Genomic DNA, 13,203 nt, shown 5'->3' on the forward strand with positions numbered 1-13,203 from the left:
CCTGGGAGGCGGAGGTTGCAGTGGGCCGGGATCATGCCACTGCACTCCAGCCTGTGTGACAGAGGGAGACTCTCTCTCTCAAAAAAAAAAATTTCCTCTTCCTCCAAGGTTTAAAAATCATATAAATGTACCTTCCTCTCAATTATGCTGTGAACTTAAAACTGTTTCCCCAAAATAGTCTTTTAAAAAAAATCAAGAATACAATAGGCATGGTCTAGAAGAAAAATGTACAGGTTGCAGGCAGGAGACACCAAGCAAATCATTTCATATCTGGAGGCCTTCATTTATTGCTCCACAAGGTTAAGAGTTCAACTCACACCGGGGTCTATGAGCTAACCTTTCACCAGGGCATTCTGTTCAAACCTTGGGCCTCACTTCGTAAAAGTCCAGGAAATTACTCTCCCTTTCTGTTTGCACTCGGCCTCATGCCATGGGCCTCCTGGGCAGGTGCACTGCTGCTCCACCGGTGCTCAACACATTTTTGCTAAAGGAATGGATGACCCCAGAAAACACATACAAGCTGGGCACAATGGCATGTGTCTGTAATCCCAGCTACTTGGGAGGCTGGGGTGGGGGATCGCTCAACGCCAGGAGTTGAGGCTGCAGTGGGCTGGGATCGCACCTATGAATAGCCCCTGCCCTCCAACCTGGGCAATGCAGCAAGACCCTGTCTCTAAAAATTAAAAAAAGACAAAATAATAACAATAAACATACGAATAACTATGGCCGGGCACGGTGAAACCCCGTCTCTACTACAAATACCAAAAATTAGCCACGTGTGGTGGCGGCTGCCTGTAGTCCCAGCTACTCTGGAGGCTGAAGCAGGAGAATGGCGTGAACCCAGGAGGCAGAACTGGAGTGAGCCGAGATGGCGCCACTGCACTCTAGCCTGGGCGACAGAGCAAGACTCCCATCCCAGCACTTTGGCAGGCCGAGGCGGGCAGATCACCAGCTCAGAAGATCGAGACCATCCTGGTTAACACGGTAAAACCCCGTCTCTACTAAAAAAAACAAAAAATTAGCTGTGCATGGTGGCGGGCGCCTGTAGTCCCAGCTACTCCGGAGGCTGAGGCAGGAGAATGGCATGAACCCGGGAGGCGGAGCTTGTAGTGAGCCGAGATCGCACCACTGCACTCCAGCCTGGCCAACAGAGCAAGACTCTGTCTCAAAAAAATAAAACAAACAAACAAAAAAAAAGAAATTGTACCAGCTTCTGAGAATCATCAAAGGTAGCAGAGGAGGGCCAAGTCAAAGCCACAGAGTGTAGAAGCCTCAAGATGAAGTTCAAAGCCATACAGTCCTAAGGAATGCTAGGAGTCGGTAACACAGCAAGTTAATATCTTTGGGTAGACACGTGCAGCTACAGCTGTGGAATAAATTTCCTCCTGAGAGTGAAACTCTACAGTGCACACCACCTACAGTGCATTGAAGCAGACATTATGCAAACACTTCAAGAGAAAGGACACTTGGTCTCGGACCAGCGAAGCCCGTGGGCCCTCGGTGTGATAGTCTCAATGTATCTGTAAGAAGAGTAGGTCAGTGGCTGGTCAGCATCAGATAAAACAGTCAACAAAGCCAGCTCTGGCTGTGCCCATAGCTCACGGCAACTCACTTCCTCCAGCTGCTCAGGCCAACACCCGTGCGTCATCCCTGACTCCTCCCACTCTCACAACACCCAGCAGCAAATCCTGTTGGCTCCACTTCAAAATGGATTCTGGGCCCAGTGCTGTGGTTCACCCCTATAATCTCAGTACTTTGAGGGGCCGAGGAGGGTGGATCACTTGAGGTCAGGAGTTTGAAACCAGCCCGGCCAACATGATGAAACCCCGTCTCTACTAAAAATACAAAAACTTAGCCGGGTGTGATGGTGGGCGCCTGTAATCCCAGCTACTCGGGAGGCTGAGGTAGGAGAATGGCTTGAACCCAGGAGGCGGAGGTTGCAGTGAGCTGAGATCGTGCCATTGCACTCCACCCTGGGCAACATGAGTGAAACTCTGATTCAATAAATAAATAACCACATCGTTTCTATTTGATGTTCTCTCTGGATGTGTATAATGAAATTTCCCTTTTTCCTAAGGACACCTGTCATATTGGAATATGGCCTAGCCTGATATCTTGATTTTAACTTGTTCACCTCTGAGAAGAACCTATCTCCAAATAAGATGACATTCTGAGGTAGTAGGAGTTGGAACTTCAACATGTGAATTTGGTGGGGAGAACGAGTCATGATTCAATCCATTACAGTCCTACCGAATTGTGAGCTAACAATGGGTGTTATTTGAAGCTACTGAATTTGGTGTAATGGTGTGTGCCTGTAGTCCCAGCTACTCAGGAGGCTGAGGCAAGAGGATGGCTTGAGCCCAGGAGTTCAAGGCTGCAGTGAGCCATGACTGCTCCACGGCACCCTAGCCTGGGTGATCTTGTCTCAAAAACAAAACAAAACAAACCACCACCACCACCCACAACAAAAAACAGCTGGGCGCCGTGGCTCACGCCTGTAATCCCAGCAATTTGGACACCAAGGTGGACAGATCACGAGGTCAGGAGTTCAAGACCAGCCTGGACAACATGGTGAAACCCCGTCTCTACTAAAAAATACAAAAGGCCAGGCGCAGTGGCTCATGTCTGTAATCCCAGCACTTTGGGATGCCAAGGCGGGCGGATCATGAGGTCAGGAGATCAAGACCATCCTGGCTAACATGGTGAAACCCCGTCTCTACTAAAAATACAAAAAATTAGCCAGGCATGGTGGTGGGTGCCTGTAATCCCAGCTACCTAGGAGGCTGAGGCAGGAGAATCACTTGAAAACTGGAAGGCGGAGGTTGCAGTGGACCGAGATTGCACTGCTGCACTCCAGCCTGGGCAACAAGAGTGAAACTCTGTCTCAAAAAAAAAAAAAAGGGCCAGGCGCGGTGGCTCATGCCCCTAATCCCAGCACTTTGGGAGACCAAGGCGGGCGGATCATCTAAGGTCAGGAGTTCGAGATTAGCCTGGCTAACATGGTGAAATCCCGTTTCTACTAAATATACAAAATTAGCTGGATGTGGTGGCACATGCCTGTCATCTCAGCTACTCGGGAGGCTGAGGCAGGAGAATCGCTTGAACCCAGGAGGCAGAGGTTGCAGCGAGCCAAGATCACACGCCGTTGTACTCTAGCCTGGGCAACAGAGCAAGACTCCGTCTCAACAACAACAACAACAACAAAAAAGAATTGTACCAGCCCCTAAGAATCACCACAGGTAGCAGAGGAGGGCCAAGTCAAAGCCACAGAGTGTAGAAGCCTCAGATGAAGTTCAAAGCCATACAGTCCTAAGGAATGCTAGGAGTCGGTAACACAGCAAGTTAATATCTTTGGGTAGACACGTGCAGCTACCGTTGTGGAATAAATTTCCTCCTGAGAGTGAAACTCTACAGTGCACACCACCTACAGTGCATTGAAGCAGACATTATGCAAACACTTCAAGAGAAAGGACACTTGGTCTCGGACCAGCGAAGCCCGTGGGCCCTCGGTGTGATAGTCTCAATGTATCTGTAGGAAGAGTAGGTCAGTGGCTGGTCAGCATCAGATAAAACAGTCAACAAAGCCAGCTCTGGCTGTGCCCATAGCTCACGGCAACTCACTTCCTCCAGCTGCTCAGGCCAACACCCGTGCGTCATCCCTGACTCCTCCCACTCTCACAACACCCAGCAGCAAATCCTGTTGGCTCCACTTCAAAATGGATTCTGGGCCCAGCACTGTGGTTCACCCCTGTAATCCCAGTACTCTGAGGGGCCGAGGAGGGTGGATCACTTGAGGTCAGGAGTTTGAAGCAAGCCTGGCCAACATGATGAAACCCTGTCTCTACTAAAAATACAAAAACTTAACCGGGTGTGGTGGTGGGTGCCTGTAATCCCAGCTACTCTGGAGGCTGAGGTAGGAGAATGGCTTGAACCCAGGAGGCGGAGGTTGCAGTGAGCTGAGATCGTGCCACTGCACTCCAGCCTGGGCAACAAGAGCGAAACTCTGGCTCAAAAAAAAAAAAAAAAAGGGCCAGGAGCAGTGGCTCCTGCCCCTAATCCCAGCACTTTGGGAGACCAAGGCGGGCTGATCACCTAAGGTCAGGAGTTCGAGATCAGCCTGGCTAACACGGTGAAACCCCGTCTCTACTAAATATACAAAATTAGCTGGATGTGGTGGCGCATGCCTGTCATCCCAGCTACTCGGGAGGCTGAGGCAGGAGAATCACTTGAACCCGGGGGCAGAGGTTGCAGTGAGCCAGGATCGCGCCACTGCACTCCAGCCTGGCAACAGAGTGAGGCTCCATCTCAAAAAAAAAAAAAAAAAAAAAAGCTGCTAAATTTGTAGTAATTTGTTGCATAGCATAGAAAATTAATATAGCCTCCCTAAATATTATAGTTAGTACTGCCTGCTTTTAAGAGTCTCTTTCAATCTATAGATTCCCCCTGCATCTCTTTATTCTCTCAATTTTTTATTGAAAAATTTGGGATGGTTAATTTGTATCACTTCCCATAGTCTGGATTTTGCTGGTTACATTCTTGTGGTATAGGTTAACAGGTTTCTTTTTTCTTCCTATAAATTGATCATTGCATCTAGAGTGCTAATCAGATTAAGCTTTTTATGTTTTTGTTAAGACTCTTTCAAAGTACACAGCTACAAGGTGTTTGTGTGTGTGTGTGTGTATGTGAATTTGTGTATTTTTTTTAAGATAAGATGCCTCATGAAACATACTGATACTTCTGATTCAAATTCAGGAGACAAGATGTTACTCATTCTCTTCTATTTCACATCTGTAACTCCTTTTCCCTACACCAGGAATTCAGTTCTCTGGCCACTGGGGATGATAGAATTTGAATATCACATAATTACTAATTGCTTTGTCCCATGTTCGAAAACATTGTTAGAATAAAAATTTAACATTACCAGTCCATATGATCACTAAAAACAGTTCCAAAAAATTTTATTTTAGTATTATTATTATTATTTTTGAGACGGAGTCTTGCTCTGTCACCCAGGCTGGAGTGCAATGGTGCGATCTTGGTTCCCTGCAACCTCTACCTCCTGGGTTCAAGTGATTCTCCTGCCCCAGCTTCCCAAGTAGCTGGGATTAGAGGTACCAACCACCACGCCCAGCTAATTTTTGTATTTTAGTAGAGATGAAGTTGCGCCATGTTGGCCAGGCTGGTCTCGAACTCCTGACCTCAAGCCATCCATTCGCCTCGGCCTCCCATAGTGCTGAGATTACAGGCCTGAGCCACCATGCCTGGCCAAAAAAAAAAAAAAAAAAAACAACATTTTAAAGATATGCCCACACCATTTTCTCCCCCTGTTTATAGCTAAACTTTGTCTATGTTGTTGGCGAATGTAACCATTACACTCCATACTCTCCCTTTTACTCCTCATCTTCTCTTGGTTCTCCATGTAAATGTATCTTTAATGTTCACACCAGGCTAATGTCAATGTCTTTTTAGTCTCTTTGGTTGTCTGACGCTTATTTTCTCGTAATTCCTCAGGAAAGTCTTTGGGAACAATATTCTCTGGGTTCCTGCACATTGGTGACAATCTGCTATTTTTTTTTCTTTGTAACTCACTCTGTCACCCGGCTGCAGTGCAGTGGCACGACCTGGGCTCACTGCAACCTCCATCCCCTAAGTTCAAGCAATTCTCCTGCCTCAGCCCCCTGAGTAGCTGAAATTACAAGCGTGCGCCACCACGCCCAGCTGTTTTTGTATTTTTAGTAGAGATGTGGTTTAGCCATGTTGGCCAGGCTGGTCTTGAACTCCTGACCTCAAGTGATCCGCCTGCCTTGGCCTCCCAAAGTGCTGGAATTACAGGCATGAGTCACTGCATCTGGCTTGACAACTGCTATTTTTTTTTTTTTTTTTTGAGACAGAGTCTTGCTCTGTCGCCCAGGCTGGAGTGCAGTGGCACCATCTCAGCTCACTGCAAGCTCTGCCTCCCAGGTTCATGGCATTCTCTTGCCTCAGCCTCCCAAGTAGCTGGGACTACAGGCGCCTGCCACCACGTCTGGCTAATTTTTTGTATTTTTAGTAGAGACGGGGTTTCACTGTATTAGCCATGATGGTCTCGATCTCCTGACCTCATGATCTGCCCACCTCAGCCTCCCAAAGTGCTGGGATTACAGGCGTGAGTCACCGCACCCAGCCGACAACTGCTATTTTTATACTTAAAAGTTAGTTTGACCAGGCCGGGTGCGGTGGCTCACGCTTGTAATCCAAGCACTTTGGGAGGCCAAGGCAGGCTGACCACCTGACGTCGAGAGTTCGAGACCAGCCTGACCAACATGGAGAAACCCCGTCTCTACTAAAAATACAAAATTAACCGGGCATGGTGGCATGTGCCTATAATCTTAGCTACTCGGGAAGCTGAGGCAGGAGAATCGCTTGAACCTGGGAGGCAGAGGTTGTGGTGAGCCAAGATCACCCCATTGTACTCCAGCCTGGGTGACAAGAGAGAAACTCCGTCTCAAAATAAATAAATAAATAATAAATAAAAAGTTAGTTTGACCAGATATAAAATCCTGGCTTAGCTGGTGTTTGTCTTGAGTATCCTAAATGTATTATTCCAGTTTTTTCTGACAGAAAGTATTGCTGTGTCTCTATCAGTTCAGGCTGCCATAATGAAAACCGTGGACTGAGCAGATTTTAAAAACCCTAAATTTAATTTCTCACAGTTCTAAAGATAGAAGGTCCAAGATCAAGGTGCCAGCAGGGTCAGGTTCAGGTGAGGACTCTTTCCCTGGCTTGCAGACTGCTGCCTTCTTGCTGTTTCTCCACGTGGGGGAGGTGAGGAGAGACGGAGATCTTCTTCTTCCTATAAAGCCACAGTCCTATTGGATTAGGGCCCCACCATGATGACTTGATTAACCTTAATTACCTCCTAAAGACCGAGTCTCCAGATACAATCACACTGGGGATTGGGGCTTCAACACCTGAATTTGGGGGGGGTGGGGGGTCACACACAATTCAGTCCATAGCCCTATGAAAACCTTGAATGGCCATTTTTCCCCATTATATGCCACTTGATCTAGATAGCAAGATGACTAGATAACTGTATCATTCCAGGTTCTCCAGAGAAACAGAACCAACTGTGTGTGTGTGTGTGTGTGTGTGTGTGTGTGTGTGTGTGTATTATATATATATATAGAAAGAGAGAGACAGAGATTGAGATTTATTTTGAGGAACTGGCTCACAGATTGTGGGGTCTGGCAAGTCTGAAATCTGTAGGCAGGCTGCAGGCTGGACACTCAGGCAGGATCTCTATGTCACAGTCTTGAACAGACTTGAAGCAGAATTTCTTCTTCTCCAAGAACCTGTGCTTTTGTTCTCTCTCTCTCTCTTTTTTTTTTTTTTTTTTGGAGACAGGGTCTCACTCTGTCACCCAGGCTGGAGTGCAATGGTGCAATCATGGCTCAGTGCAAACTCGATCTCCCAGGCTCAAGTGATCCTCTCACCTCAGCTTCCTGAGTAGCTGGGACTGCAGGTGTGCACCACCATGCCAGCTAATTTTTGTATTTTTTTTTAGCGACAGTGTCTCACTATGTTGTCCAGGCTGGTCTTGAACCCCTGGGCTCAAGTGATCCACCCACCTTGGCCTCCCAAAGTGTTGGGATTACAGGTGTGAGCCACTGCACTCGGCCCTGTTCTTAAGGTCTTCACCTCACTGGATGAAGCCCACCATGTTAGGAAGGGCCATCTCTACTTAATGTCTACTGATTGGAAACTTTGATCAAAGCTATCAAATACCTTCACAGTCTTAAAAGAAGAACTTTGGACAAAATAAATGTAACAGTTTATTTGAGCAAAGAACAAATTCATGAATCACGAAGCACCAAACCAAAAGGAAGGTATGGGCTCCACTCCAGCAACACGAGTAGTGAGCTTATTTTTTTATGGTTTATTATTTATTTATTTATTTTATTTATTTTTGAGACGGAGTTTCACTCTTGTCGCCCAGGCTAGAGTGCAATGGTGCAATCTTGGCTCACTGCAACCTCCGCCTCCCAGGTTCAAGCAATTCTCCTGTCTCAGCCTCCCAAGTAGATGGGATTACAGGCATGCGCCACCACGCCTGGTGGATTTTTTGTATTTTTACTAGAGGCAGGGTTTCAACATGTTGGCCAGGCTGGTCTTGAACTCATGACCTCAGGTGATCCACCTGTCTCAGCCTCCCAAAGTGCTGGGATTACAGGCAGAGCTTGCAGTGAGCTGAGATTGCGCCACTGCACTCCAGCCTGGGCAACAAAGCGAGAACTTGTCTCAAAAAAAAAAAAAAGTTCTAAGAAATACAGGGGGGAAACAAAGAAAAAGTAGGGAAAGGACATTACAAATACAGCTGATCCTGGGCCGGGTGCGGTGGCTCACGCCTGTAATCCCAGCACTTTGGGAGGCCAAGGTGGGCGGATCACAAGGTCAGGAGATCGAGACCATCCTGGCTAACACGGTGAAACCCCTTCTCTACTAAAAAAAAAAAAAAAAAAAAAAAATTAGCCAGGCGTGGTGGCGGGCGCCTGTAGTCCCAGCTACGCGGGAGGCTGAGGCAGGAGAATGGCGTGAACCCGGGAGGCGGAGCTTGCAGTGAGCCGAGATCGCGCCACTGCACTCCAGCCTGGAGAACACGGTGAGACTCTGTCTCCAAAAAAAAAAAAAAAAAAAAATACAGCTGATCCTTAAATATATAAAAAGATGATTAAGCCAATTTATAAAAAGAAAAAAAATTCCAAGCACTGTAAGATACAATTTCTCACCTATCAAATTGACACAATTTCAAAAGCTGGATACTGTCATCTGTCAAGGCCATAGGGAAGGAGGCAGGCTTGTCTAGTGCAGGAGGGAGGCAGAATAAGACAGTCTGGTGATGTGGAAACATCTAGAAAATGACAAACGTGTTTAGCCTTTGCCCTGGCTCTCCCACCTCTGGGAAGTTCTCTCATGGTTATCTCTGACCATGCTAGTCATTGGAGCATTGTCTGTAAAGCAAAACATGGGCAAGATTCCAATATTCTCTCTGTAGAGGATAGACAAATACAACCGTGGAATAGTCACCCAGCAGAAGACTTCACAAGTATAAAAAAGAGTGAGGCAGCTTTGTGATTTTTTTTTTTTTTTGACAAATATAGGAGAAGCTCAGGAATATATTGCTAAGGTGCAGAACAGTGTACACAGCCAACCTCCTTTTTTTCTTTTTTTTTGAGATGGGGTCTCGCTCTGTCACCCAGGCTGAAGTGCAGTGGCGCAATCTCGGCTCACTGCAACCTCTGCCTCCCGGGTTCTGGTGACTCTCCTGCCTCAGCCTCCCGAGTAGCTGGGATTACAGGCATGCGCCACCACACCCAGCTAATTTTTGTATTTTTTATTAGAGACAAGGTTTTGCCATGTTGGCCAGGCTGGTCTTGAACCCCTGACCTCAGGTGATCCGCCTGCTTTGGCCTCCCAAAATGCTGGATTACAGATGTGAACCACCACATCCAGCCAAAGAGGAAGTTTCTTAAAGCAGGTGGTGAAAATAGGGTGGACAGGGACAGGGTAAAAACAAAGTAGCCCTGTTGGGCGCGGTGGCTCATGCCCGTAATCCCAGCACTTTGGGAGGCTGAGGTGGGCAGATCACTTGAGCTCAGGAGTTTGAGACCAGCCTGGGCAACATGGTGAAACCCTGTCTCTACCAAAAATACAAAAATTAGGCCAGACACAGTGGCTCACACCTGTAATCCCAACACTTAGGGAGGTGGAGGCGGGCAGATCACTTGAGATCAGGAGATCGAGACAAGCCTGGCCAACGGGGTGAAACCTCATCTCTACTAAAAATACAAAAATTAGCCAGGCCTGGTGGCACGCACCTGTGATCCCAGCTACTTGCGAGGCTGAGGCAGGAGAATTGCTTGAACCTGAGAGGTGGAGGTTGCAGTGAGCCACAATCACACCACTGCACTCCAGCCTGGGCAACAGAGCCAAACTCTGTCTCAAAAATAATAAAATAAAATAAAATAAAATAGCTCAATGAAAATGCAAATACAGCATGTCAAATTATATGGAACACAGCTACAAATTTTTTGAAAAAGAGCATTAGGCCCATGTGGCGGCTCATTCCTGTAATCCCAGCACTCTGAGAGGCTAAGGTGGAGGGATTGCTTAAGCTCAGGAGTTCAAGACTCAATCTCTACAAAAAAGTCAAAAATTAGCCAGGTGTGGTGGTGCATGCCTGTAGTCTCAGCTACTTGGATGGCTGAGGTAGGAGAATCATTTGAGCCCAGGAGATCAAGGCTACAGTGAGCCGTTATTGTGCCACTGCAGTCAGCCTGGGCAATAGAATGAGACCCTGTCTCAAAAGAAAAAGAAAAGAAATTTAGAGCATTAAATGCATGTGTTGAAGCTGGGTGTAGTGGCACATGCCTGTAGTTCCAACTACTCTGGAGACCGAGGTGGGCGGACTGCTTGAGCCCGGGAGTTTGAGGCTGCAGTGAACTGTGATTGTGCCACTGCACTTCAGGCTGGGTGACAGAGCAAGAACTTTTCTCTAAAAAGAAAAAGAAACTAGCCAGGCCCAGTGGCTCACACTTGTAATCCCAGCACTATGGGAGGCCAAAGCAGGCGAATCACTTGAGGTCAGGAGTTCGAGACCAGCCTGACCGACATGGTGAAGCTCCATCTCTACTAAACATACAAAAATTAGCTGGGCTTGATGGCACATGCCTGTAATACCAGCTACTTGGGAGGCTGAGGTGGGAGGATTGCTTGAGCCCAGGAGGCAGAAGTTGCAGAGAGCTGAGATTGCACCACTGCACTCCAGCCTGGGCAACAACAGAGCGAGACTCTGTCTCAAAAAAGGAACGAGAGAGAGAGAAAGGAAAGAAAGCAAGAAAGAACGAAGGAAAGAAAGAAAGAAAATTGAATATAAAAATGTTTTAGATAAATACATGACTGGGAAATAAATTTCTTCTTTTTTTTTTTGAGAAGGAGTTTCACTCTTGTTGCCCAGGCTGGAGTGCAATGGTGCTCACCGCAACTTCCGCCTCCCAGGTTCAAGCAATTCTCCTGCCTCAGCCTCCCGAGTAGCTGGGATTACAGGCATGCGCCACCATGCCCAGCTAATTTTGTATTTTTAGTAGAGAAGGGGTTTCTCCATGTTGAGGCTGGTCTCGAACTCCTGACCTCAGGTGATCCGCCTGCCTCGGCCTCCCAAAGTGCTGGGATTACAGGCATGCGCCACCATGCCCAGCTAATTTTGTATTTTTAGTAGAGAAGGGGTTTCTCCATGTTGAGGCTGGTCTCGAACTCCTGACCTCAGGTGATCCGCCTGCCTCGGCCTCCCAAAGTGCTGGGATTACAGGCATGCGCCACCACGCCCAGCTAATTTTGTATTTTTAGTAGAGAAGGGGTTTCTCCATGTTGAGGCTGGTCTCGAACTCCTGACCTCAGGTGATCCGCCTGCCTCGGCCTCCCAAAGTGCTGGGATTACAGGCATGAGCCACCGTGCCTGGCCAAAATTTATTTTTTTAATTAAAGTAGGCCAGGCACGGTGACTCATGCCTATAATCACAGAGCTTTGGGAGGGTGAGGCAGGAGGACTGCTTGATGCCAGGAGTTGGAGACCAGCCTGGGCAACGTAGTCAGACCCCCATCTCTACAAAAAAAAAAAAAATTATTGAAAGATTAGCTGGGCATCGTGGTCCATTCCTGTAGCCCTAGCTGCCTGGGAGATTGAGGTGAGGATCCCTTGAACCCAGGTGTTCAAGGCTACAGTGAGCAGGGATTGAGCCACTGCTCTCCAGCCTGAGTGACAGAGCAAGATCGTGTCTCAAAAAAAAAAAAAAGGTAAAGCAAAGCAAAACATGCTCATTAACACTCTCATTAATGACTGTACATTTGTTGTACTTGAGCGAGTTAGAAAAACGCCACACTTTGAGATGAATTTAGAGTCCTTTATTAGCCGGTGACCGAGAGACGGCTAACGGTCAAAATTCTCTCAGCCCTGAGGAAGAGGCTTGATTAACTTTTATATCTTGGTTTAGGAAGTGGGGGGGGGGGTCTAGTTAAAAGAATTTTACAGAAGTTAAGTAGTCAAAAAGTTAAAAGGATAAATGGTTACAGGAAAGTGAACAGTTCCAGGTGCAGGGGCTTTAAGACTATTACAAGGTGATAGACGCGGGGCTTTGGGCGTTATCAATCAGATGAATTCTTGGCGACTGCGGATACAGCTTGCCACAGTATCTTATCAGTTAATTGCATTCTTGGATGTGCTGGGAGTCAGCTTGCATGAGTTAAGTGCTTGAGGAAGGGGCTGCCAGTGAAAGAGTCAAGATGGAGTTTGTCTGGTTCTCTTAGCTAAGGGAGAAACAAGGCCAGGTGAATAAGGAAAAAACAAGGTTGGGCATTACACATTTTGGCCGGGGGCGGTGGTTCACATCTATAATCCCAGCAATTTGGGAGGCCGAGGCAGGTGGATCACCTGAGGTCAGGAGTTTGAGACCAGCCTGGCCAATATGGTGAAACCCCATCTCTACTAAAAATACAAACATTAGCTGGGCGTGGTGCAGGGTGCCTGTAATCCCAGCTACTCAGGAGGCTGAGGCAGGAAAATCACTGGAACCTGGGAGGCGGAGGTTGTAGTGAGCCGAGATCGCGCCACTGCACTCCAACCTGGGCGACAGAGAGAGATTACGTCTCAAAAAAATAAATAAATGACTGTACGTTTCACAGTACACATATTTGCTAACCCCCTGTGTATGTTTGTCTTTAAATCTAATGTTCTTCACAGTGAAACCCTGTCTCTACTAAATTAGCCGGGCGTGGTGGCACATACCTGTAATCCCAGCTACTCGGGAGGCCAAGGCAGGAGAATCGATTGAACCTGGGAGGCGGAGAATGCAGTGAGCGAGATCGCGCCATTGCATTCAAGCCTGGGCAACAACAGTAAATGTCCGTCTCACCAAAAAAAATAAATAAACCTAATGTTCTTGGCCATGTCTGTTCCAGGGTCCAGTCCAGAATACCACATTGCATTTAGTGTCAGTTTTTATTTCACCGACGTAGCTTAGGGGCCTTGTCTTGCTGATGAAGGAGGAACTCCTGGGAAACCTTTGTCTCTCACAAGTGTTTATGTGAACACTTCATACACTCCTGTGTCTCTGGATGTGGCTACCATGTTAACATAAAAAAGGGGTGAGAAGATAACATCTTAAGAATTCC

The 13,203-nt window shown here is 47.3% G+C and overlaps 1 long non-coding RNA gene across 1 annotated transcript in view; it reads left to right on the forward strand.

The window, feature by feature from the left end:
* The window catches only part of LOC124900479 (uncharacterized), a 31,093-nt gene that overhangs the window by 17,527 nt on the left and 363 nt on the right, over positions 1–13,203 (forward strand). The gene's annotated exons all lie outside the window — the stretch shown is intronic.

The sequence above is a fragment of the Homo sapiens genome, chromosome 22 (assembly GCF_000001405.40).
Source record: "Homo sapiens chromosome 22, GRCh38.p14 Primary Assembly".
Taxonomy (NCBI): Eukaryota; Metazoa; Chordata; class Mammalia; order Primates; family Hominidae; genus Homo; species Homo sapiens.